This window comes from Homo sapiens, chromosome 13 (assembly GCF_000001405.40).
Source record: "Homo sapiens chromosome 13, GRCh38.p14 Primary Assembly".
Lineage (NCBI taxonomy): Eukaryota > Metazoa > Chordata > Mammalia > Primates > Hominidae > Homo > Homo sapiens.
Window position 1 is genome coordinate 29,406,402 of NC_000013.11, and position 27,937 is coordinate 29,434,338.

General features: G+C 39.0%; 1 protein-coding gene across 12 annotated transcripts in view, besides 1 other annotated feature; it reads left to right on the top strand.

The window, feature by feature from the left end:
- Positions 1-27,937, top strand: part of MTUS2 (microtubule associated scaffold protein 2) — a 685,985-nt gene that overhangs the window by 586,439 nt on the left and 71,609 nt on the right. Inside the window, exon 1 of one of the 12 annotated variants that reach the window (NM_015233.6) lies at positions 22,259-22,495. The exons of the other annotated variants lie outside the window; for them this stretch is intronic. Within the exon in view, the coding sequence (NP_056048.1) occupies positions 22,442-22,495 (54 nt within the window). The 5' untranslated portion in view covers positions 22,259-22,441. Of the gene's footprint in view, positions 1-22,258; positions 22,496-27,937 lie in introns of those variants that run through there. 12 annotated transcript variants of the gene reach the window in all.
- Positions 16,598-17,150: an enhancer, noted in NCBI's record as "OCT4-NANOG hESC enhancer chr13:29997136-29997688 (GRCh37/hg19 assembly coordinates)". NCBI's record gives its function as "activates a minimal SCP1, AML or CMV promoter by ChIP-STARR-seq in primed H9 embryonic stem cells {active_cell/tissue: H9 hESC(primed)}" and the evidence as "EXISTENCE:reporter gene assay evidence [ECO:0000049][PMID:30033119]".

The following is a 27,937-nucleotide window of genomic DNA, read 5'->3' on the forward strand; positions in this document are numbered from 1 at the left end:
CACTTACCTGTTGGCAGACCTCAGATCCTTGCTGGCTGTGAACTGGAGGCTTCAATTCCTCACCACAGGGGCTTTCCCTAGGGCTTCCCTCACCCCCACTGTACCCCCAGCAACAGATCAGAGGGAGAATGAGAATGAGATGCTTAGGATGGAAGCTACAAGTCTTTTAATCTAACTTGGAAGTGACATACCATCACCTCTGCTATATACTACTGGTGACACAGACCAAACCTCATATGGTGTGGGACAGGACCACAACAGGTGTAATATCAGAAGATGGGAATCACTGGGGCCATCTTCAAGGCCACCTGCTGCATTCCCAAGAATGTTTTTGTATTTTTACCAGATAAATATTGGATAACATAAAAAAGTATAGGTGTTTGCCTATTTTTACTCTATATAAATATCATGCTGTAAGCATCATCCTACATACAAACTTATATCTTTGAAATGTTTCTAGGTTGATACATTTAGATCTGATTCATCTGTTTTCTCTGCTGTATGTTTCACTGTATCAATATGCCATAATTTAGGGATCCAGTGTTTAATTGAAAGACATTTAGGCCGGGCACAGTGGCTCACGCCTGTAATCCCAGCACTTTGGGAGGCCAAAGCGGGTGATCACTTGAGGTCAGGAGTTTGAGACCAGCCTGGCCAACATGGTGAAACCCTGTGTCTACTAAAAATACAAAAAATTAGCCAGGCGTGGTGGTGGGCGCCTGTAATCCCAGCTACTCTAGAGGCTGAGGCAGGAGAATTGCTTGAACACCAGAGGCAGGGGTTGCAGTGAGCTGAGGTCGTGCCATGGCACTCCAGCCTGGGCAACAGAGCGAGACTGCATCTCAAAAATAATAAGTAAAAGATATTTAGATTGTTTGGGTTTTCACTATTAAAAATGAGCTGAACATTTTTAAACATGTCAAGTTGTGCACCTGTGCAAAAGTTTCTCTCTAAAGTATATATTTAGACGTGGAATTACTGATTCAAAGTGTGCATATAGCTTCCATTTTCTTATATTACCACATTATTCTCCAGAGTGATTGTACTTATTTATTTATTTATTTATTTATTTATTTATTTATTTATTTATTTTGAGATGGAGTTTCGCTCTTGTTGCCCAGGCTGGAGTGCAATGGCGCGATCTTGGCTCACTGCAGCCTCTGCCTCCCAGGTTCAAGGGATTCTCCTGCCTCAGCCTCCTGGGTAGCTGGGATAACAGGCACCCGCCACCACACCCAGCTAACTTTTTGTTTTTTTAGTAGAGATGGGGTTTCACCATGTTGGCCAGGCTGGTCTTGAATTCCTGACCCCAAGTGATTCACCTGCCGCAGCCTCCCAAAGTGCTGGGATTACGGGCATAAGCCACCACGCCTGGCCCTGATTGTACTAATTTATACTTCTACCAGCTATGTATGAATGTACCGTTTACTCCACGTACTAGCCAACTGAGATATCATCAGACCCTAACTTTTGCCAATCTGTTGGTTTGAATCGGTGTCATATTGTGGCTTTTATTTGCATTTCACTAATTATTATTTAAGAATTATGTTTTTGTATGTTTATGGATTATTTGCATTTCTTCTGAGAATTGCTTTTTCATATCCTTTGTTCTTTTTTCTATCGTGTTATATTTAGCTTACCAATTAGAAATAGTTTCTACATATTCTGGATACTAGTTTATTTGTGGATTATACATATTACAATCATTTTCTTCCAGTTTGTGACTTACCACTTCATTTTTAGTGTCTTTTCTAAACTAAACTTCTAATTTTAACGGGTATATAATGTATCATTATTTTTCTTTATTGCTTGTGCTTTTTTTGTGTCTTGATTAAAAAAAAACCCTCCCTAAACAGGGCATAATGATATTTTGTTATAATCTTTTTAAATGTTTTAACATGTTTAATTTCAGGTTTAAAAAAAAATTATTTTGACACAGGGTCTTGCTGAGTTGCACAGGCTGGAGTGCCATGGTACAATCATAGCTCACTGCGGCCTCCATCTCCTGGGCTCAAGCGATCCTCCCACCCCAGCCTCCTGAGTAGCTGGGACTATGGGCACAGGCCACCATGCTCAGCTAAATGTTTTTTATTTGTAGTAGAGATGAGGTCTTGCTGTGTTCTCCAGGCTGGTCTTGAACCCCTGAGCTTGGGTGATCCTCCCTCCTTGACCATCCAAAGTGCTGGAATTACAGGTGTGAGCCACAAAACCTAGCCCATGTTTAAGTTTTTAATATAACTGGAAACAGTTTTTGTTATGGGGTGAGGTAAATCATGACTTTTTTTTTTTCATATAGATAACCATTGTCCTAGCCTCATTTATTGAATAGCCCATTCTTTTCTCATTTGTGTGCAATGCAAATCTATGTCATTTAGCAAGTTTCTACACGTGTGTATCTGTCTACTTGTATATATACTAAAAACATGAGTTCATACTGAGACCTTGAATTCCAATCCAACACCACAGGGTTTGTTCTAGTGTGTCCAATTTGCTTATTTTTAACGCAATTCCTCAGCAGTGAGAAACTCTTCTTTCTCCAACAATGAAAAACATGGCTATTATTACACACAATATACTTACTCTTTTGCTCTATCCTAAACTAAGCACAAAGTAGTTTCAATTGTTCATCCACTTATAGCTGGGCATGGTGGCTCACACCTGTAATCCCAGCACTTTGAGAGGCCGAGGCGGGTGGATCACCTGAGGTCAGGAGTTTGAGACCAGCCTGGCCAACATGGTGAAACCCTGTCTCTACTAAAAATACAAAAATTAGCCAGGTGTGGTAGCACCTGTAATCTCAGCTACTCGGGAGGCTGAGGCAGGAGAATCACTTGAACCCAAGAGGCAGAGGTTGCAGTGAGCTGAGATTGCGCCACTGTACTCCAGCCTAGGGGACAGAGTGAAACTGTCTCAAAAAAAACAAAAAATCAAATTGTTCACCCATTTGTGTATAGTTATTATTATCTTTAGCCTTATATGCTATATAGTTAAGATACTGTTTTCCAAAGTTACTTAGGTTAATTTTTTTCTTCCCCATTTGCTTTAATGTCATTAATATAATTCATTTGTTTTAAAAAAACAAGTTAGATTCATTGTATTCCCTTTTGGATTCCCCATACATCTGGGTTGATTTTAATGATTAGTTTGATGAGTATGTGACACATTGGTTCTCCTATTGTTTCTGTTTCATTCCCATCAACCCTCTGTAGTGGTGGGATTAGCTGGTCTATCACCCCTATCCAAAGGAGCAGATTCATGTTTATTTCCTTATGCTCTTTCTTACACAAAAGATAGGATACTACAGTGTGAATATTATTTTACATCCTGCCTTCTTTGCTTTACAATATACTCTGGAAATCATGCCAGATAAGTTCATGGACATTTTCTTCATTCGTCTTTTTTTTTTTTTTTAACAACCATAGTACTCCATTGAGTGACTATACCATAAGTTGTTGGACCATTCTCCTAGGAAGGGGCATTTAGGTTGGATTTTAATATTTTGCAATTACAAATGCTATAATGAATGACCTTGTGTATTGTTAAAGATATATCCTCAGGGTAAAATCCTAGATGTACAATTTCTAGATTAAAAAGAAAGTACATGTATAGTTTTATTAGATTTTGCCAAATTCGCCTACAAAAAATTGGATCAGATTGCATTCACACCAGCAACGTTTAAGAGTGACTGTTTCCTCGAACCCTTGCCCATCGAATATGCTGTTGTACTTTTTTTTTTTTTTGAGACAGAATTTCATTCTTGTTGCCCAAGCTGGAGTGCAATGGCACCGTCTCAGCTCACTGCAACCTCTGCCTCCTGGGTTCAAGCGATTCTCATGCCTCAGCCTCCCAAGTAGCTGGGATTACAGGTGCCCGCCACCATGACCGACTAATTTTTTTGTATTTTTAGTAGAGATGGGATTTCACCATGTTGGCCAGGCTGGTCTTGAACTCCTGACCTCAGGTGATCCGCCCGCCTCGGCCTCCCAAAGTGCTGGGATTACAGGCGTGAGCCACCGCGCCCAGGCTGTAGTTTTTAGTTGCAGCCAAGTAGGTGAGAAATGGTATCTCAATGTTGTTTTAGTTTGCATTTTTCTAGTTATATGAAACTTAGAACAATTTTTATATGTTTAAGGGCCATTTTATATTTCTTCTAAGTTGTTAATTTTTCTGTTGGGTTTTTGATCCTTGGTTTTGTCATTTTGAAAGAGTTTTTTATATATTACAGATATTACCCCTTTATCTGTGACACATGGTGCAAACATTTTCTCCTAGTTTGTCAGTTATTTTTTTGACTATGTCTATGGTAATTTTCCTCATCCAAACTTATAAAAAAATTATATAGTCACATTTATTAGTTTTTTATTGCATAGTTTTTTTAGTCATAGTTATAAAGTCATTCCCACACTATTGGTTTTGTTTGTTTGTTTGTTTGTTTGTTTGTTTGTTTTGAGACAGAGTCTCACCCTGTTGCCCAGGCTGGAGTGCAGTGGCACGATCTCGGCTCACTGCAGCCTCTGCCTCCCGGGTTCAAGCAATTCTTGTGCCTCAGCCTCCAGAGTAGCTGGAGTTACAGGCACATGCCACCACACCCGGCTAATTTTTGTAATTTTAGTAGAGGTGGGGTTTCGCCATGTTGGCCCAGCTGGTGTTGAACTCCTGACCTCAGGTGATCTACCTGCATTGGCCTCCCAAAGTGCTGGCTCATGCTCACAGGCTTGAGCCACTGTGCCCAACCCCACACTATTGTTAAAAGAGAAATTCACTCATGGTTTTGGGGGTTTTTGTTTTCTTTTTGGTATTTTTGTGGTTTTATTTTGAAATTTAGATCCCTTATCTATTTGGAGTTTGTTCCGGGGCACAAGGTGTAATGTAGACCTAATTTTATCTTTATTCAAATGGCTACCCAGCACTACTTATTAAAATGTTTATCTTTGTCTCAGCGATTTAAGATGCCAGCTTTATCTTATAATAAATTTCCATATGTCCTTAGGTCTATTTCTGAGCTTTCTGTTCTATTCCACCAGTCTATGGTATACACATAAGCCAGTACCACATTGTTTTAATTATAGAGGCTTTGTGGTATGTTTTAATGTCTGATAGATCTAGACCCTCTGCATAAATGTTCCTTAATTTTTCTGGATATTCTTGCACGCATGTTGCTTTTGCCAAATGAACTTTAGTATCAATATGTCTAACTCCATAAAACACAGATTTGTTGGTGTTTTCACAGAGATTACATTAAACTTACTTAACCTAGTGAGAACTGACATCTTTATTTGTGATGCTGAGTCATCCTTCCAAGAACAGGAAATGATTTCCATTCATTTGTCTAAGTCTACTTTTGTGTCTTTTCAGACTCATTTAAAGTTTTCCTCAGAGAGATGTTTTGCATATTTTTGATGAGCTTCTTCCTGTGTATTTAATGTTCTTTGCTGCTTTTCTAAATTGGACTTTCTCTTCCATTGCGTTCTCTAAATAATTCATGTTTGTGCATATGAAGGCTATTGATTTTTGTTACTTTTATATTTTGCTACCTTATTGAATTATTGTACTGTGTGAGTCAGTTTTATCATTCACTGTTGATTTTGTAGGGCTTTGTAGTTACATTGTCATATTATGTAAAAATAGAGACTGTTTTACTTTTTTACCAAATTGTATGCCTCTAATTAATTTCTCTTTTCTAATTACATTGGCTTATACCACTAGTATGATATGAATAGTGGTGGCAGACAGTAGGAATCCTTGCTTTGTTCCTGATTTGAATGTAAATTCTTCTATTGTTTACACATTCAGTAAAATAGTGGCTTTAGAACTAAGGATTTTTATCAGGTTAAGGTGTTTTATCAAGTTAAGAAAACACTTCATTTCCTGTTTTCTTGAGTGCTGTTAACTGGAATGGATATCAAATTTTTGTTGAAGACTTTGTCAGCATCTATGGAGATAATAATATTTTCCCCTTAGATCTATCAGTATTGGTTTTCTAATATGGAACCAACCTTAAATTACTGGCTTAAGTCCCAATTGGTCACAATGTATTATTTCCATTCTGTGGTGTTAGATTGTGTTTGCTATTATACAGTCGTTTGCATCTGTATTCATGAGTGACATTGGTCTCCAGTTTTCCTTTTTTCTACTCTTTTTGTAGAGTTTCATCAGGTTTAGGTATAAAAATTAGGTCATACTTAATTATTAAAAGAATAAGGAAGGACAAGTGCAGTGACTCATACCTGTAATTCCCAGAGCTTTGGGAGGCTGAGACAGGGGGATTGCTTGAGCATAGGAGTTCGAGACCAGCCTGGGCAACACAGCAAGACCCTGTCTCTTCAAAAAATTTTTAAAAATTAGCCTGGCATGGTGGCTTGTGACTGTAGTTCTGGCTACTCCGGAGGCTGAGGCAGGAGGATTGCTTGAGCCCAGGAGTTCAAGGTTATGCTGAGCTATGATCATGTCATGTATTGGCAGGTTGCATTCATTTCTGGAGGCTCTGGGGCAAAATCCACTTTCTCGTCTTTACCAGCTTCACAGGCTACCCATATTCCTGGACTCATGGCCCAGTTCCATCTTAAAAGCCAGCAACGGTTGAGTTTTTCTCATATTACATGTCTCTGACACTGATTCTTTCCTTCCCTCTTCCATATTTAAGGACTATTATAATTACATGGGGCCCTCTTTGATAATCCAGGATAATCTCCCTAGGTAAATTCAGCTAATCAGCTAATCAGAACCTTAATTTTATCTACAGTCTTAATTCCTCTTTGCTATACAACATAACATACTTATAGGTTCTGGGGATTCAGACTTGGGCATCTTTTAGGGGAAGGGGAACATTATTTTGCCTTCTGCATTTTTAAAGCTCAAGGGCAATTTATAGAACACTGGAACTATCTCATCTTTGAAGGTTTGGTAGAAGACTGTAGATTTAAACGTTAGACCTAAAACCATAAAAACCCTAGAAGAAAACCTAGGCATTACCATTCAGGACATAGGCGTGGGCAAGGACTTCATGTCCAAAACACCAAAAGCAATGGCAACAAAAGCCAAAATTGACAAATGGGATCTAATTAAACTAAAGAGCTTCTGCACAGCAAAAGAAACTACCATCAGAGTGAACAGGCAACCTACAACATGGGAGAAAATTTTCGCAACCTACTCATCTGACAAAGGGCTAATATCCAGAATCTACAATGAACTCAAACAAATTTACAAGAAAAAAACAAACAACCCCATCAAAAAGTGGGCGAAGGACATGAACAGACACTTCTCAAAAGAAGACATTTATGCAGCCAAAAAACACATGAAGAAATGCTCATCATCACTGGCCATCAGAGAAATGCAAATCAAAACCACTATGAGATATCATCTCACACCAGTTAGAATGGCAATCATTAAAAAGTCAGGAAACAACAGGTGCTGGAGAGGATGTGGAGAAATAGGAACACTTTTACACTGTTGGTGGGACCGTAAACTAGTTCAACCATTGTGGAAGTCAGTGTGGCGATTCCTCAGGGATCTAGAACTAGAAATACCATTTGACCCAGCCATCCCATTACTGGGTATATACCCAAATGACTATAAATCATGCTGCTATAAAGACACATGCACACGTATGTTTATTGTGGCACTATTCACAATAGCAAAGACTTGGAACCAACCCAAATGTCCAACAATGATAGACTGGATTAAGAAAATGTGGCACATATACACCATGGAATACTATGCAGCCATAAAAAATGATGAGTTCATGTCCTTTGTAGGGACATGGATGAAATTGGAAACCATCATTCTCAGTAAACTATCGCAAGAACAAAAAACCAAACACCGCATATTCTCACTCATAGGTGGGAATTGAACAATGAGATCACATGGACACAGGAAGGGGAATATCACACTCTGGGGACTGTGGTGGGGTCGGGGGAGGGGGGAGGGATAGCATTGGGAGATATACCTAATGCTAGATGACACGTTAGTGGGTGCAGCGCACCAGCATGGCACATGTATACATATGTAACTAACCTGCACAATGTGCACATGTACCCTAAAACTTAGAGTATAATAAAAAAAAAAATTAAAAAAAAAAAAAAAAAAAGAAGACTGTAGTGAAAATATTTGGCCCTGATGTTTTTTGTATGCAATAGTTGTTTAATAATTGTTTTTGTATATTATGGGAAATTTGCTCTATTTAAACTTTCTCTGATGGGCTCAATTTTGGGAACCTATGTCTTTAATATAGAATTTCAAATATATCTTACGGTTGTTAATTATTTTCTATTTTCCCTTGTCATTTATTATTTTGTTATTTGTGTTCTTTTTCCCTGTTCAGGTTGGTTAGCAGTTGCTATTTTGTTAATGTTTTTCAAGTAAGTCTACTGGTTTTCTATTCTTTACTTTAATAATTTCTGCTTTTATCTTTATTATTTCCTTCTAATTGCTTCCTTTTGGTTTATTTTGTTGTATTCTAGTTTTTTAACTAGGTATTTAAGTCATTTATTTACTTTTTTATATTTTACTTATGAAAGTGTTTCATTCTATAAATTTTCCTCTGATATATGCTTTAAATGTGTCCGATATGTTTCGGTTTGGGGGGTTTTTTTGGTTTGGTTTTTTTTTTTAGAAATTCTTTAATTTCAGTTTGCATTTTCCCTTTCACTCAAGAGTTGTTTAATAGGCTTCCTGAATTTTTCAGGTGGAAGATCTTTTTGTTTTTAGTTTTGGTTAATAATTTCTTTTTTTCCTTTTTGCATTGTGTTCAGTATGTTGTTTGTAATATTTCTAACTCATGGAACTTACTAGTATTTTCTTTGTGATCAATTTTGATAAATGGTTTCAAGGCATTTGAAAAACAGGTATAGTCACTATTATCAAAGTATAAAGTTCAATATATAGCTATAAGATTTACATAATGGATTATGTTGAGGGTTTCTTAATCCACTTTATCCATTTTGAATCAAGAGTAGAAAAACTCCTTCATAAAGTTGGCTACTGTGTTTTTTGGAGCATAAATATTTATAAGTGTTACATCTTCATCACGATTTTGGCTTTCAGCATTAAAAGGTGCTAATTTTTGTTGTGTTTAACATTTTTAGTCTTGAATCCTTATTCGTTGGATATCAGATTGCTACCTCTGCTTTCTTGTTGTTTCCATTTTCCTGGAATTGCTTTATCTATCCATTTATAATTTGCCTTCTTAATCACTTTGTTTTATATATCTTGGATGTTGTATATAGTTGAGTCTTTTAAATTGTGAGCTGAACAGAAAATGTGTTTCTTTCCAATGGTGATTTTAGTCCATTAGATTTATTGGTATAGCTGATATGTTTGGTCTGAGTCTACATAATGTTTTATAATTATATATATTATGCATATTTCTTGTGTTTCTTTTATCTGCTTTACTCTTCAATTATGAAAAATGAAATTTAAGAAGTTTGTTGTTGTTGTTCTAGTGGTTATATTTGCACCTTTTTGAATGTCCATTGTCCCGTTTTCTTAGTTAACCTTTGAGCACCTAGCTTGCCAGATTTTATTTTATTTTATTTTACTTTAAGATGGAGTTTCACTCTTGTCACCCAGGCTGGAGTGACACGATCTCAGCTTACTGCAACCTCTGCCTCCCATCAAGTGATTCTCCTGCCTCAGCCTCCCGAGTAGCTGGGATTACAGGCACTCACCGCCACACCCCACTAATTTTTTTTTTTTTTTTTTGTATTTTTAGTATGGACAGGGTGTCACCATGTTGGCCAGGCTGGTCTTGAACTCTTGACCTCAGGTGATCCACCCGCCTTGGCCTCCTAAAGTGCTGTAATTACAGGTGTGAGCCACCATGCCTGGCCACCAGTTTTTAATTGTATCTTCAACTCCCACCTGTTGCCTCTACAACAATGAATGAACTTATTTTACTCTCTTTATTCTGTCTTCCATCCCTTAGCCAGTTTTTAATTGCATTATTTCTATTTGTCAAGACATATAGCATTTGTACATTAGTCTTCAACCTTCAATTTGACTTTTTGTCTTAGATCTATAATTATATATAACATATATGTAGCACATATATATAGCATATATATAGCACATATTATGTATAGCATATATATATAGCACATATTATATATAGCATATATTTATATATGCTAATATCAGTCCTTTTGCTGAAAAATTTCCAGTCACCTATCAGGTGAATAAAGCTCATACACTATCCAATGCCTCAAGAAAAAACTCACAGTTTCAAGATTCCCTAAGGTTTTGTGTGTTTCACACTTTGCCAGTAGCCTTGATACTTGGACAACTTAACTTTATATAAAATGAAGATCTATATTTTCTTTCGTTGAGCTTTTTGTCTGTTTGTTTTTAAAATACTGCTCTATTTGTTGTCTTGCTCTGAATATCGAATACTTTTGCCCTTATAATTAAGTGACCTTTTTGCCTAGAGGTTTTGTTTTGTTTTGTTTTGTTTTGTTTTCAGTCTCTGAATTCTAACAGGTTTAATAAGTCTTAGAGTTGCTATCTCTGGGTTAACTTTCCCAAGTACCCAGTGGGCCCTTTCAATAGTACGTTTCAATTATCTGAAAAGTTTTCTTATATTATAGTTTTAAGCATTTGTATTGGTCCATTTTGCAATGCTGTAAAGGAATACCTGAGGCTGGATAATTTATAATTTAGAGGTTTATGGCTCACAGTTCTGCAGGTTGTGCAAGCATGGCACCTGCATCTGTTTCTGTTTGGCTTTGGGTGAGGACCTCAGAAAGCTTACAATCATGGTGGAACGTGAAGGGGGAGCCAGTGCATCACATGGAGAGAAAGGGGGCAAGAGAGAGAAGAGTGAGGTGCAGGCTTATTAAATGACCAGCTCTCATGCAAACTCCTTACCATGGGGAGGGCTTCAAGCCATTTATGAGAGATTCTTCCCCATGACCCATACACCTTCCACCAGGTCCCACCTTCAACACTGGGGACCACATTTCAACAGGAGATTTAGAGAGGGTGAAATCCAAACTATTTTAGTATTGGTTTATTTTTTCTTTTCAGATAGTCTAATTATGTATTAATCCTTCTTTATCTGTTTTCCATTTTCTCTGTTTTCCCTGTGACCTTTGGTATTCTTTTATTTTTCTCATTTTTATGTTCTTGGTTGTTTTCCTACCTTTTAAAATGCCCCTTAGTAAATTTTCATGTTAGTTTATCTTACTCTGGGCACCTTGTAATTTAATCTTCATTTTTGAGATAACTTTGTCATTTTCTTTCATTGCTTTCCTAAATTAATCAACTCTTTATTATATTTTTGTTCTTTGTCCATTTATATTATTCATTTTGTATTTTTTATTCAAGATCTTTTTTCATATCCCAAATGCCAGTTTTAGTACATTTAACTCATTTTGAATGTTCTTGCTTCATGGCTATTTTCTTGGAAAAAAATTTCAACAGTTGAGATGTGTTGGATCTTATTTTCTAGTTCTTTGTAATAACTCTGTATCTGCTTATTCAGTTTTTTCCATTTATTTTTGCAGTATTGGTTTGCTTCTTAAGAGTCCTAATTTGGTGCCTTTTGTCTTGGAACAAAGTCCAGACTTTTTAGTGGAGTTGGGGGGTAACTGGAACAAGGGATTTGTATCTTTTGATTTTTTGGTACTCTTTTGTCTTGCCTACATTTCCTGACCTGAGCTAAAACTCTGTTGATCACCTGACCTCCGTAAGCCCCTGCTCTAACTGGTAAACCACAGCAATGTTTGGGGTCTCGGGCATTAGTGTCAGTTTAGAGCCAGTGCCCAATAGTCCTTGAAAAATATGATTATTTCTTTTCTCCCAGTGAACAGTTACCTCGGTAAAAGGCAATAGGTCCCCTAGAGGCTGGAAAAAAGATTACATTTTTCAGTAGAAATTTTCAGTAGTGTCTTGGGGTCCTTGAGGAAGGGATTTCCTCAAGGATATCCAGCTTCCCCTTCATTCAAAGGGTTCTGAGTCTGTAAACTGGCCCAAGTCTGGGAATTAATTGAGTGGCCATGACTCTCTGTCTTTATGGTTAAGGTTAGACTTTGTTCACTTGACCCAGAACTTTTCTGCTCATACAGATCAAGTAAGAATTTAATTGGCTTCCTATCTATTTCACTTCTAGGAATATCATGATCAGCTAGCCAACTTCCGTAGTTCTGCATAAGTTAGATTATTCAGATTGCTGTTTGGACTCTGCTGTCTATGACAGTAACCATACATATCTTGCCTTTAGCAGTTGAGTGCCTCCACCTGGCCCCGCTTCCCTAGGGTTCAGATACCCCCGCTGCATTTAGGTTTCCCAGTCCAGTTACTGTGAGATCTGACTTACATAGAAGAAGGATCACAGAGTTCTTCTAAGATGTTGGAGCTCCCTTCACAAATTTATTTCTCACAGTTGTGGTGAAATGTCCGCGTTCTAGACCCTCCCCGTGTGGGTGGGTAGGTCTCAAGTGACAAATCCACTCTGCCATGCCATTCTCTCTCAGCTTTTGAATCCCTTTCTCTACATTAAACCAAGACATGGCCAGCATGTTCAGTTCACTCACTATGGCTACCTTTTGGTCTGTGTTTCAGCCAGCCAAACTGTTAGAGCCCTTTTGGACTCCTGAAGCTGCAACATTAAATCAGAATCTCTGTTTAGTGAGCCCAGATCAGTAAATTCAGCCTGACCTAACTTTTTGTTTCTTTCACCGTTATTCCATACACTTAGTGTCCATCTTTACACATGTTGCTTGGATTTCTGCCTGTATAAATTAGAAAAATCCAGTAGTTCCTTTGGAATGTCATGCCCCTCCTCATGGGTCATACATTGTACCTCATCTTTAGGCACCTGCTGGGACTCGAGTCTCATTACAGGTCTAGAAGCAAAGAGGAGTGGCAGGGTGGATCCTGGGGAGAGTCAACGTAGTCTTGCACAGCATCTGCCTCAGGAGAGACCATTACAGTTTCCTCAGGTAGTGTGGGGTTAATCCCCTCAGAACAGAGGTGGAAAGACTGGAGGTGGAGAGGTTGATACCATTGATACCACTGAAGGTGGGAAGGCCATTTCCTCTGGGGTTAGGGTGGCCACTTCCATTGGAGGTGGGGAGACCAGTTCTGCCAGGGCTGAGGAGACCTCTTCCACTGGCAGAGAACACTCAGCAGAATCCATGTCCTCAGTTTCATCAGGGCCTTCCCACATGTCTCCATCCCAGTTCACGGGCTCCCATTCTTTCCAAAGCAGTGCTTTCACTTTAACAGTAGACAATAGCTACTGTTGCTGGGGTTCAACTTGTGTTGTCATTCAGCCAGTGGCAGAATGAAATTTTGTGTTTGAGTTTCAGCAATGTCAGCCCTGCAGTTAAAAGGATAAGGGTCTTCTTCAGGACACATGTAGAAGTTCTTACGTTATTTAGGCAACACTTGAGCTGGGAATTTGAATCCCTGAGATCATCCTTTTCTTGCACTGCTGTGTCTAGTGACATTAGGAGCAACCAGCCAACATCATTATGTTCATTAATTAAACAAAAAATTGAAACTGTCATGTACAGAAGCAGCCTTGCTTCTTTTAAGTGACTGATGAGTATCCAATGCTGATATTTTGCATCTTCCCATAAACAGTTCAGCTGTGGACTATCAGTGCTCTCTTTTCTACTGAAAATAGAGTCATTAGCATCTTCAAATTTAATCAAATTAGAAAACCATTCCAGAAACCTTATATAGTAGATAGTTTTATCTCCATCTTATAGAGAAGAAAACTGAGGTTCTGAGAGAGTTAAGTAACCTACCCAAAATCACCCAGCTGAAAATCAAACTGAAATCTATCCTGATATCTATGTTGAAACTGCTCTTTTTTCTTCCTTCCTTCCTTAACTTACTTTCTTTCTTTCTTTCTTTCTTTTTCTTTCTTTTCTTTCTTTCCTTTTTTTTTTTTGAGACAGAGTCTCACTCTGTCACCCAGGCCGGAGTGCAGTGGTGCGATCTCAGCTCAATGCAACCTCTGCCTCTTCAGTTCAAGCGATTCTCCTGCCTCAGCCTCCCAAGTAGCTGGGATTTCAGGCCCCCGCTGCCGCGCCCAGCTAATTTTTGTATTTTTAGTAGAGAGAGGGTTTCACCATGTTGGCCAGGCTGGTTTCAAGCTCCTGACCTCAAGTGATCACCTGCCTTGGCCTCCCAAAGTGCTGGGATTACAGGTATGAGCCACTGCACCCAGCCTCCGTTCTTTCTTTATAGCAAGAGTCACATTGTTTGTTGACTGATATTCAGCTTATGGTTCACTGGGATCATTCTTTCTATTTAACGTATGTCAAATAGACAGATGCACTTGGGGTCTCTGCCAGCTGCTTCCCATCCCTCTATCTGATTTTACCTATCAGTTGTCCAATATTGTCCAACCTATTCATCTAGCTAGTAAAGATAATTTTGAATTTCACTTCTCTTATGAGAGTAGTCAGCTCCTCCAAATATACAGAAACTTAAGGAGGCTGCCTCTCCTGTAATCATCCTAGTCACTGACTTAAAAGGGAAAAAAAGGGTACTGTCAAAAACTAACAGACAGGGAAAAAAAGATTATCTTACATCAGTAGCAACCTTCCTATTTGGGTATTACAGAGAAGTGAAATTTTTTTAGTTCTCTTTTGACAAGTATCTGAGAACATATCTCAGAGCAAAAACACATATGCCATTTCTCTCTTCTTTTTTCTCTTTTAATTTTCTAAATCCTGGTTATTATATCAAAGGTGCTTCAGAGCATCTATTGTCTGTGTGTGGATGATCGTAACTACCCATCATTCCCAGTTTAAAAATTTCTGTTTTCTATTTTTCCTTTGCAGCCCATTCCCACCTCATTAAAATCTAGATGGATTGTGTTTGGTAAAAGCTACGCATATTTTCCTGGCCCTGGCAGTCCCCTTTGCTAAGATCCAGCCCTAGAGATCCTGCTCATATTTTAGATGCATGGAAAAAGGAGGGGTCTGGATGGAGGAACCCAAATAAACAGATGGTTGCCTTGACAATTTGTAAGAGATTCTTTCATGATCATTTTTCATGGTTTTCTCTTGAAATAAATAGTGAGACTGCGATACAATTTTTAACTCTTTGACCTCCTGCAAATGGTACCAAGGTTCACAAACTGCATAGAACACCAAAATGCCTCTGCCACAGAGCCACCTTCGGCTTTGACTCCTTCAAGGTCCCATCCTGCATTGCCCTAGGAAATGTTCATAGAGACCTATCTTCAAGGCAGGTCATAGGTGTCCTGGGTGTAAACATGAGTGTGGCATAGCAAGGAGGCTGTGATACTTTGTAGAAGACAAAGATAGACAATTATTATGATATCAGGCAGGAAATCCTGGGGCAAGAGCATATGGAATGCATGAAATCACAGAGAAAGAGGGAATTCACTCCAAATTGGAGGGTTGGGCAGAGCCCTGGAGGAGGTGAGGTGGTGCTAAGGAGTACTGGGGAGCAGAGTTTAAGCCAAGGAAACTTGAGCCTGACTACAATGACGGAGGGCAGGGGAGGGAAAGGAATTCCAAGTTTAAGGAAGACAAAGAAACAGAACTAATAAAATTGAACATTTTAACATTGACCTGCATGTTTCTACTATGTCAGTTTTTAGGTTGTTTGTATATTTGTTTGTAAATGTACTTTTTATAAAGCATTGACATAGAGGCTCTTGCTCTAAGATAGAAAAATATGGGGCAATTCCATTTATATGTCTGAATTTCCTTTTACATTTCCCTATGCCCAGATTCCTTATCCAGGTTATCACACAAGCCTGAAGTTCTACAGGCCTTGTAGATGGAAGGCTTCCAAATTACAATGCAGTTAGTAAAGCGTAGTGGCTTAAGACATAAGCTTTAGAGTTAGATCCGAGTTCATGACCCCTCATAATCACTTCCTGGCTTTATGTACACCTGACAGGCTGTGCAACCTCAGAGCCTCATTTACTCATCTGTAAAATGGAGATGATAATAGTGCTTATCTCACAGAGTTTTGTGAGAGTTACGTGAGATACAGTGCACAAGCCGTTAAGCACAGGGCCGGGCATCTGTTGTCGATCAGGTAGGTAATGCTTATCATTAGTTATTGCTCCAAAACACAGTGTTCATAAAGTTTTCTCCAAGGAGACCCACCATTAGGCTTTCCTATGACTTTTCTAAATGTTTGTTGCTACTTCAATGCAAGAAAATATGCCAGGAGTAAAAATCACCGCAAACTTTTTTAAATATTGGGAGCCAAAATGTCCCAAATTTCATAAGCCTGTGATGTCATGATTTCTTTTCTTTTTTTTTTTTTTTTTTTTTTTTTGAGATGGAATCTGGCCCTGTTTCTCTGTTGCCTGGGCTGAAGTGTAGTGGCATGATCTCAGCTTACTGCAACCTCTGCCTCCTGGGTTCAAGCAATTCTCCTGCCTCAGCCTCCTGGGTAGCTAGGATTACAATTTTTAATAGAGACAGGGTTTCACCCTGTTGGCCAGGCTGGTCTCAAACTCCTGACCTCAGGTGATACCTGCCTTGGCCTCCCAAAGTGCTGGGATTACAGGCGTGAGTCACCACGCCCAGCCCATGGTTTCTTTTTATGCCAAATTACAACAGTCTAAACCTTCATTGTATTTGCCTTCAAGTTTAGTCTTTTTTCAGGTATCCAAGCATTTGGGTGAGTCCCTGGAGAATTTTTATTCAGAGGGGACCTCCCTACATGGCCCTTAGCTTGCTGCCATATTATCAGGACCAGTTTATCTCTCTCAAAATGAATTTCACTGAGTATTTTTCCTCTACCTGGAATTTAGGCCCCAGCCTCTGAAAGCTCCAAGAGAAGGAGCTGCTTCCTTCTCAGCCTAGCCCAAGGCCCCATGCTGATTTATTCAGTGATTTCTTCAAAGGACATTTTGTCTATGGGAAGGCTCACTTCCTTCAAAAGAAATCTCGCTCCCTTCAAGTGGCTCTCAAAAGACAACAAACAGCACCCATTGTTTGTGGTACCTAATTGTCATTGCCAGCTAGAAGGAACTAGGGCTCCTAGCAAGGATAGATGACTGCACAACTGGAGGAGGAAATACATAAGATGAGCCTAGGATTTCTTGTGTCAGGAAGCAAGGAAGGTAGACGAGTGAGTTGTGCTAAAAGGACAGAGGGACCAAAAAGAAGGGCTGCAGGCCAAAAAGGGGATACACTGAGCATCAAAAAACAGTAATTAGTGCAATGGACTAAAACATATTGTGTATGTCAAAATAAAAACATGAGTTTATAATTTATAATGATGTTTTTAAAAGGTGAGAGGAAACAAACAACAATCTCAACAACAACCTCATTGGGTACCATTTCCACAGTCTTTATTCAGGAAATTGGCATGTAAAAGATGATTAGGCATTTATCCTGTCCTTCCTGTACAAACTATATTGCAGGAAATTAAAATTGCCCTAGTTGTACAAACATATAGTTAGATAGAATAAGTTCTAGTGTTGGATAGCACAGTAGGGTGACTGTAGTTAACAGTAATTTTTTTTTTTTTTTTCTGAGATGGAGTCTCACTTTTGTCGCCCAGGCTACAATGCAGTGACACGATCTCGGCTCACGGCAACCTCGGCCTCCAGGGTTCAAGGGATTCTCCTGCCTCAGCCTCCTGAATAGCTGGGATTACAGGTGCCTGCCACCATGCCTGGCTAATTTTTTTTTTTTTTTAGTAGAGATGGGGTTTCACCATGTTGGCTGGGCTGGTCTCAAACTCCTGACCTCAAAGTGATCTGCCCACCTCGGCCTCCATAAGTGCTGGGATCATAAGTGTGAGCCACCATGCCTGGCCAACAATAATTTATTGTATATTTCAAAATAGCTAGAAGATAAGATTTAGAATGTTCCCAACACAAAGAAATGATAAATGTTTGCAGTGATAGATATCCTAATTACACTGATTTGATTACTACATATTGTATGCATGTATCAAAATATAACGTACCCCATAAATGTGTACAAATATGTATCAATTTAAAAATGTATATCAAAGAAGTCACCCCAGTTGAAGAAAAATTCTTTTTTTATATAAAAATTCCATCTAATAAATGCAAAAAGACAAAAATAATCAGAACATTATGTTGCAGTCCCCAGTGAAATAATTGATTCAGGTAATAATTATTAACAAATGAAGCCATTATATGAAAGGTTGATGGGGAACTTAACAGTGGAGATGAGGCTATCACATCCTGATCCACTCTAGCTCACTAAAATTGGAACACCCAGACACAGTGTGCTTCCCGACAGAATGAAACATGAAGCACACAGCATCACCTCTGAGATGTTATCCCCAAAATTGAACTTGAATCTAACCCAGATTTGAGAGCTAAATTTCACTTAAAAGGATGCAGGAACAGGTGAAGTGACATTACAAAGAAACAAAGAGGCAAATCCAGCATGTAGGACATTCTACAGGGCGGCTGACCCAGTTTCTGAACAAGTCAATGGCATGGCAGCAAAAGGAGAGGAGGGGTGGGGATTGCTGTTCATAGGAGACCCAAGATACTTAAAACCTGATGTAATACATAGACCTAGTTTGGATCCTGATTCAAACAAAGAAACCAGGAAAATTTTTTTTTTAGAAACCAGCAAAATTTTTTTATGAGCTAGGTATTGGATACCAAGGAATTATTGTCACTTTTATTGTTTTAATGGCATTGTGGTTAGGTAAGAAAATGTTCATAATTTTTAGCAATGCATACTACAGCATGTAGGGTTTTGCTTAGAAAATACTTTAACATAGAAATATTTTAACAGACCAGGTGCAGTGGCTCACACCTGTAATCCCAGCACTTTGGGAGGCCAAGGTGGGCAGATCACTTGAGGTAAGGAGTTTGAGACCAGCCTGGCCAACATGGTGAAACCCCATCTCTACTAAAATACAAGAATTACCTGGGCGTGATGGCACGCACCTGTAATCCCAGCTACTTGGGAGGCTGAGAATTGCTTAAACCTGGGAGGCGGAGTTTGCATTAAGCTGAGATGGCACCACTGCACTCCAGCCTGGGTGACAGAGTGAGACTCTGTCTCAACAAACAAACAAACAAACATACAAAAAAAAGAAAGAAATACTTTAACAAAGAAAAAAGAAAGACAAGGGACAAGTGAAAATAAGGTAACAGTCTTGGTAATTGCTGAATTGGGGTGATGGGTATATGAAGAAAAAGTAAAAAAATAGAAGTAAAAAAGGATAGATGAAACAAGTGTGCCAACACCTTGATGACGGTTGAACCTGGAAATAGGGATATGAAGACCTTTGGTATTTACCTCTATTTTTCAGTATGTTTGAAATTTTTATAACATGTAAAGAAAACAAGGCACAATTCTACAACATGAATACATTTCTCAGAATCTGGGTCATGTGCACTGAGATCATAGTACATGTGCGATTTCACCAACATAGGAAGGACTGGACTACGGAAGTGCCGTGCCCTTCAGTGCCCTCTGTGCCCAAGAAGAGAAGCTGAAAATGGCCTCTCTTTGTGTAGATCCTCCAGTCTCGTGCTAATCTCCTGTGAGCAACTGGTTAGCAAGGGCTCTCATACATCTCCTAAGAATAAGAAGTAATTTTCTAGTATAGAGCACTCTAAACTCTAATTTAGAATAAAACTGTTTCCTAAAGGGAACTATCTGCAGGAAGACGACTGAGCTGGAAGAAAGCATTCTTTAAATCAATGTAGGGAGTTTAGTTAGCTTTGCAGGCCTTCCCACCCCACCTGGCTCTGTCCACAATAGGGCTTTGCTCTGTCTTGATTTAATCCATACCTGCAGCTCAGGAGCTGTTTGCCTCCGGATAAATGCAAGCTACCACTTCTCTTTTAGAAAAACTGTGATAAAATATAACAAAAGATTCGCCATCTTAACTATTTTTGAGTGTACAGTTTATTGTTAAGTACACATGATCCTCAACTTACAACAGGGTTATGACAATGCACTTTCAACTTAACGGTATTTTCAGTTTACGAGGGATTTATCCTGCTTTAGCCCCATTGTAAGTCAAGGAGTTTTCTGAATGTGTTACGCCATCGTAAAGTGGAACAGTCATAAATGGAACCATCATAAGTGGGGAACAGTCTGTATATTCGCATTGTAGTGCGAATCCAGAATTTTTCATCTTCTAAGACTAAAACTCTGTATTCATTCAACAATTCCCTACTTCTCCCTGTCCCCAGCCCTTGGCAGCCACCATTCCACTTTCTGTCTCTGTGAATTCGACCACTCTAGGTACTTCATATAAGTGGAATCGTACAGTATTTGTCCTTTTGTGACTGGCTTATTTCACTTAACATGATATCCTCAAGTTTCATTCATCCTAAGACGAATTTAGATGAGTTTGGCTTGTTTTGTAGCACGTGTCAGATTAGTTAGGCATGTTTTGTAGCACCTGTCAGAATTTCCTTCCTTTTTAAGGCTGACTAATGTTCCACTGCATGCATACACCACATTTTGTTTATCCATTCTTCTGTTGGTGGATGTTCTGGTTGCTTCCACGTTTTGGCTATTGTGAATAATGCTGCTATGAGCGTGGGGGTATACTAAGCCACCACTTTTTGCAACATAAAGTTTTTCTCACAGATTTCAAAAGCCCTAGGAACAGCTTTCAGCCCAGGTTTGAGCTCAAGGTACTGTGAGCTTCTTTCCCTCTGAGGTCTGCCCAAGCTCACTGCCAAGGAGCATTAGCCCAAGTGAGCAGGAAGGAGCTCTGGACCTCACAACATCACAGAGCCCAGATGGGGGTCCCTGCCTTTTCCCTGGCACACTTTGTTTTAAAACAGTAAAAATAAAACATGCTCACGAGAGGGTAAAAAGTGGACATTCACTCCCTCCTGTTTTCCATTCCTTAAGGGTCGGCTGCTATTCCATGAATGTGTGAATCTTTCCAAAGCTTTATTCCAAACATATGCAAATGTGTATGTTTGCTTTGTTTTTTTATAAAACTTTGCTTTCTCAGTCAACAATGTATATCATCTTTCCATATAATAGAAAGGCATTGAAAATCTAAAATATTCCACATTTTTATGCTGTTACCAACGATGCTGAATTGAAGATCCTTATGCATACAAGCTTGTGTATTTATGTGAATATTATTATAGCATAGACGTGCAAATGTTGGGTCAAGGTGTGCGTACATTCAATATTTTGATAGGTACAGCCAAGTCGCCTTCCTGAAGGATTATGCTAATTTACCTGTTAGCTTTAAAGAAAGGTTTCCGTTTATTCTTTCAAGTTTAAGGCAAACATTCCAGTCTGTTCCTATGTGATCACTAAATACTTGCCTTTCTCTGAGCCTATACTACTTAATTAAAATCTGCTTGGAAAATCTCAGTTAAGTTAGTAAAATCATCTAGTTCTAACAACTATTGTCTGTTTACAGCCTTAGGCAATTTAGTGGGCAAAACTGTAATTGTGTATTTCTAAACATGAGAAATTTCAAGATTTCTCCTCTGAGGGGTATCAGGGCATATAAAATCAATCATGTAAATATTTGCTTCTTTTACTTTCAGGATTACACAAATATATTTTTAAATACCAAGTCTTTTTTGAGAAAACAAAAACAAACATTTGCTCCCTGATTCTTTCCTTTTCTGATTTTTAACTGTGTGAAAAACTAGAAAGATCAAGTCCTTCAAGGCTTTTATGCCAGTTTGCCTAGGAGAGATACCTGCCCCAAGCCCCAATTTTAATTACTCAAGCCAGTTGAATGGTGTGTGTATGTCAGCCTAGGCAAGCGACTTCACAGTTATATTTTAAATATGAAGATTTCATCAAAGAAGGCAAAAAAAATTGTTCATGGCATGCAAATTAGAAAATGAGAAATTGGCGGTTCCCATTAGCAACAAATATTCTGAGAAGAGTTTCATGGGAGGAGAGGCCATATACATCACGTTTATAAATATTTTTACTTCCCAGAAAAATAGGAGCTAGGATTGCAGCAGAGCCAAGCCCTGGCAGCCCTTTCGGGCGTCCCCAGGCAGTGCCCTGAAGCCCAGGCTCGCCTTTTGTGCTTCCTGCGTCCGCTCCAGGCGTGTCTGCGCGGTGCGGAGGCGCATCCCCGCCAGGGGAGGGCTGGGAGCGGCCGCGCACCCAGAGGAGAGCAGGCTGTCCTTTTAGGGAGCCGGCATTGGTAAATGCTCTGTGGTTATGCGACTATTGATTTGCCTCACCCTGAGGACTCCAGTGGCAAAGTGACCCTCCCTCCTGCCTGTCCCCTCCCTTCCTGGCTCCCGCCCGCCCTCCCTCCCGCAGCAGCAAGATCTGATCGCTGCTGCCCTGCTCTCCTCCTCCTCTCATTCCTCTGCCTCCTGGATTCCTGAAGTTTAGGAGAAATAAGGTAGCCAAGGGAACCACATGGAAGTTGTGACAGCTCCCAGCGGCGCGCCCCTTTCGTGTGTGCCGGTACCTCGGCTTAGGAGTTGCCCGCTGACACCTTGAATGAAGGAGGTCCCCTTGCCAGCCAGCCTGCCGGGATGGGCCATTGCTGCTGCAAGCCTTATAACTGCCTTCAGTGCCTGGACAAGACGGTACTTTGCCTTCCCTCTCTCTTCTTCCCCCTCCTCCTTTGCAAGGGCAGAGAGAAAGCCGTGAGCCAGCCACCTCGGTGCCTGTCCCCCTAGCATGCGTGTGCGCTTTGTTGGTGAACAGGAGGCTCCCTTTACTCGTTCCAATGTGCTGAATTGTGAGTGGTGTTCACAGAAACATTTGGTCTCACATACTCTGCAGTGCCTTACATAATTCTGTATTCCTGCAGTCTCAAATGTAACTGTTGCATTTTCCTGAAATAGTAGGATTCTGCTCCAACATCTTGAAATCAGAACTGCCAAGAGATCTTTGCAATATTCTTAATGCATTTTAATGTACCTGTGAAACCTAAGACGTTCCACTGGGGAATTTAGATTAGTTAGGCATGTTTTTCTTCGCCAAGTGCTAACTTTGAAAGTTTACCACTCTTTTTTCAAAACAGCACTCATTCTTGTAATTTACATTCTTCACATCAGAGAAGAAAGCACACAGTATAGTTGTTCTCTCTGTACTTCTTTGCATCACAGAGAGATGAATAAACATAGAAGTGAAAACTTAAAAAGCCAGAGAGAGTCTGAGGGTGTGTTCAAGTCTTCACAGGAGAAAAATTCACAGCCAGGGAACTGAAAATAGAGTATGCATGAGAATTATATAGCAATTCCAACACAAAGCCTTTCTTTGCTTTTGACATTTGCCTACTCTTGTGAGCTAGCAGAGGGATTAGGATATGCTTTTAATTTCATTACTAGAAATCTGTTGGCAAGAACTCTTGTCTCTGTGAGATACTTTATTGTCATGCATATTTGGATTTCTACAAGATGCATGAAATGGGATTTCACAATTGAATTGTTGAAATTGCCTTCTTCCTACTCATGTGGACATCAGCTATCTAGATAGCTTGAGGTATGTGACCAGGAGAAGGAAAATATATGGCTTAATATACATGCTCATCAAAAAGCGGTCACTTGGGAGCATCTTAGTTACCAGTCTGCTTATGAACTTTGACCTAAAGTAGGGTTACTTACCACCTAGGAAAATTAAACTGATACCTTAAAAGTCACTTACTAGTTTTGCTCTAATAGAAATAACTACTTCAGTGGATTTGGCTTTGCTACCATGAGTATGAACTAAAATATTTATATACACATTTATGTGCTTTTAACAAAAAGAAATATAAAGCATTTGCGCTCAATTGTCTGCACATCTAACACTGAAGTGATTAAGCCTTTTGCGAAGTGGTCACAAAAGAGTATTGAAGACTTACAACAATAATTACAATAAAAGGGAAAGATTTGCTACATGTAAAACAGTATTATAAATTTCATATTTCTAAATCCTAATGCAAAAGTTTTAGAAATAGAGGCTGTAATATGGAGGACTTTTGGTTTGAGAAAGTATGTTTCGAAAGGAGTCTGTTTCCCTATTTTGTTTTACATTGTTTCCCTATTTTGTTTTAAATCAAGTTCTTGAAAATGATTATCCCTATGTCATTCTTGAATTCAGAGATTTTGGAAGATAATTTAATGTTACTTCATCTCTTTAGCAGTATGATGTTTAAGTAACTTTCCAGTGTTTTAGCTTTGAAACTTCCAGTTCTATACAAATTATTTTTTACTGATGAAAACTTTAAAACTTACACTGCTTTTACCAGCTTTTTCATTATGTTCACACCTACATTTCTTGTCTTTTCTTTGCTATATTTCAGAATAGTATTCCCATTTGAAGTTTTATACATATATTTTCACAGGTGCTCTTTTAATGAATTGAGGACTTTCTTTTTAAATTAAAAAACACATTGTTTTATGTAGTTGCCTACTTTGCAGAATAACTTCACAGGCAGTATGCCAAAATCATTTATTTAATTGATAGTTACCTATTGGGCCAGGTATTGTATACTAGGAGCATGATAGGATTCCATTCCAACTTCAAACTCTAGAAATCAGAATTCCCAAATCCCACAACAAAGTTCTTCAATCTGTTAATCAACTCTAACAACCCCAATAATGTTGATACACAGTTTAAAAGAGGCCTGGTAAAATTGTTGATAGAGTTGTTTCTGATTACCTTAACCTAGCTTAATAAACGTTAAAACAATAAATATCTCCTCAGAACTTCATATAGATCAAAATAGCAAACTTCATTTTGAGAAATCAAAACAATTTAACAGTTTGATCATAGTGCAGCTAAAGCTGTTCTGAAAAACATGGTGGGACAATTAAAGATACTTTTAAAGTAATCAGTTTCAGAGATCTGACCGAAAACTGAATATCAACTAAAAATTATGAATATGAGGATGCTTATTTAGCATTAATTTATTAGGGGAAACTGGAATCTTGCCTAGAGTATATAATGAAAAAAATTAAGTGAACAAATTGTTTAAAAGTTGTTTGTGCTTATGTATTTCCAACTTATAAAGACCTATCCATTGGAAATATTTATTACTGGTTTACTCTGTGCTTTGTTACTATTGGGACCATCAAATAATTCTTAAAAGGCATGGCCGGCCCTTATGTAGTTTACCGATAATTGGTTTGGTTGTATTTCTACCTTTTCCAGAGAACTTATAAGTGGGTAGGCAACAATAACACACACAGAACAATTAAACATTAGCACAAGACTGGAGTATAATTAAGTGAAAGTTATGCGGTACTGACCATACCTGTTTCTGGAATTTAGTGAAAGGAGAAGTCAGGCTAGAACCATAGGCAAGGTTTCTTGGCAAAAGTGGAACATGAATTACCCTTTGAAGAATGGGTGGAATTTTATTAAACTAAAGAGAAGGAATGTATTCCAAGCAAGGAGCACATAAGGAAAGGTCTTTTAGCCTCATTTTATGAAACATGAGAGGGGCAACCTCATGGTAAACACAGTGGGAGATATGGTGCATAGGGAGTGTGGGGAAATTTCCAGCATGAAAGCCAGACCCAGGTTTTTTGTTGGTTGATTTGTTTTTTGTTTTGTTTTGTTTGAGATAGGGTCTCCCTCTGTCACCCAGTCTGGAGTGCAGTGGTGTGATCATGGCTCACTATAAACTTGAACTCCCAGACTCAAACAATCTTCCCACCTCAGCTTCCCAAGTAGCTGGGACCACAAGTGTGCACTACCACGCTCAGCTATTTTTTTTTTTTTTTTTTTTTTGGCAGAGCTGGGGTCTCGCTATATTGCCCAAGTTTGTCTCAAACTTTTTGGCTCAAGTGATCCACCCACCTCGGCCACCCAAAATGTTGGGATAATAGGTGTGAGCCACCATGCCTGGCCAAAGACCCAGGTTTTTAAACTTGAGCTAAATAAAAAGTAGGGATCTATCTTGGGCTTTTGAGCAGAGATGCAGTCTGTAGAAAGACTCGTCCACAGGTATTTGAAAGGAATGATATGACCCAGATGGATCCCAAAGGGCCCATTCACCTACAGACTCAACCTGATCCAGGATGAAGCCAGGAGCTCTACATGCACAGAAACTCCTTATCCATAACCTTCCTGAGCTGATGATTGTTAGAATTGTTGAGTTATTAAGAGGAATAAACTAGATGTATAAACTATAATACGAGCTTCCTTTTTAACAATACGAAATATAACTGACAAGCAAACAATAACAAGCCTGATAAACATGTTATTTCTTTTTAGAGTCAAAAGTCTAGCTCATAAGAAGCCTTGATGCGAATGGAATCTGAGCCAGCGAGTTGCTCTATAAGAATCTGGTGGCCTCAAAAGCCTTCTGGGCTCATCTCCCATATCCCCGCTCCCCTGAAATGTTCCTGGCCCTGGTGACTGCCTTTCCTAAGCTCCCTTCACTGTCCAACTCCTCTTGTAATGGACCTGTTATTCCTCAGACCATGTTATAGATTCAGTCCAACAGCAACACTTGCTGGTTTAGGTATGGTCCTGTCCCTTTAGGGGTTAATTTGCATATCTCTACCCTAGCCTTGATTCTAATCTCAGAGGCTAGTCTTATTTACCTTGTCTCTAAATTCTTGGCAGGGGTGGGAGTTGGGAGAGGCACCTCACTGTTCCTCCCAGGTATGTGTATGTGCTCTGACAGTAATAAATTTGGGAGGGTTATTAGAGGAAGATAGAATCCAGAAGGATCAAGAAACTTCTTAAGTGATACACAAATGGATTAAAACGCAGGCAACTGGCTAATTCTCCCTTCTCCTGCACTTACTCTGAGACCAGAATTTCCCAGCATGACTTCTTTGGATCAGCATTTCTTCTCCTTGGCCCCATTAATCTCTGTCCTTTGCCATTGTTCATTAGTAATCCAGGTATGATGTGATATTCCCTTATTAACTACAGCCTCTTGGGAAAGCTAGATGTCTTTTTACCCAGTGACTCTTCCCCACATGCACAAAGGCAAAGGCTGAAATTATGCATTTGTAATCATTTTGATTTCTTCTAATACACGGTATGACTTTGCTCGTTTTTCATACAAGTAGACACTGAAATGTATTGAAGAGTATTAAATGGGAAGGATACTTTGTTTCTGACAAGCCTATATGAAATTTCATTTCACAGCAGAAAAGCAGATCATTATACAAAAACACAGAGGCCCTAGTGTTAATTATATGTGGAAGAAATAATACTTATTGATTAACTCAAGGCATGCTATCAGTGCTGCTTTAAAGCTATAATAACTGAAATGAAAAACAAAAGGTCAATCCACCTCCTATGGGATTTTTCCACAGAGCTATTATATATTATGGATCTGGCCAATCTTCATAGTATTAGTATTGAAAACGAGTGCGATAGCCACAAAAGGTGGTATGAAAACAACTCAGATACTTGTATTTTGTTGCTGTTTCCTTGCAGCTGGTTCATTTTGAAATACAAAAGAGAGTGTTTTCCTATGAAGATGAAGTTCTACCATGTTGATTTTAAACCCTAATTTAAACTCATAGAGCCCTACGTAAAAAAGCAATAATGTTTCTGAGAAGCGTAAAAAAACCTTTAACCTTTTTGCAATTTAGTGTGCATGTGTGCCACATTTGAATTTTTTAAATTCACAATTTTAAAAGATCTGGAGGTTTCATCAAATACCAGAATTCTATAGCTCTCTTATTTAATTTCCTGTTGTGGTTCGATGGTTTAGCTTGGGAAAAAATGGCCCAGCTCACAGGGTTGGATTTTCCTGATCCACACGGATTTCAGAGCAGGCTAAAAATATAGGAAAGATTATTTGGAAGTCTTTGGGCTTACGTGTATATTTTTAAATTTACATATATATGTATTTTCTTTTTTAAAAAAAATCAGGTGGGGAAGAAGGAGCTGATGAAAATGCTCAAATCTGCAGTGAGTTTGATGAAATTGTCCTCAGTACCCCATGTAGCCAACCAAGAATTCCTGCAGGGAATTTCATAGACCAGAGGCAGAAAGTTAGAGGGAAAAGGGGCCCATCTGATGGGCTGAGAGAGGTTCCCAAAAAGTCCCAGGTGCTATTTTGCCTGGGG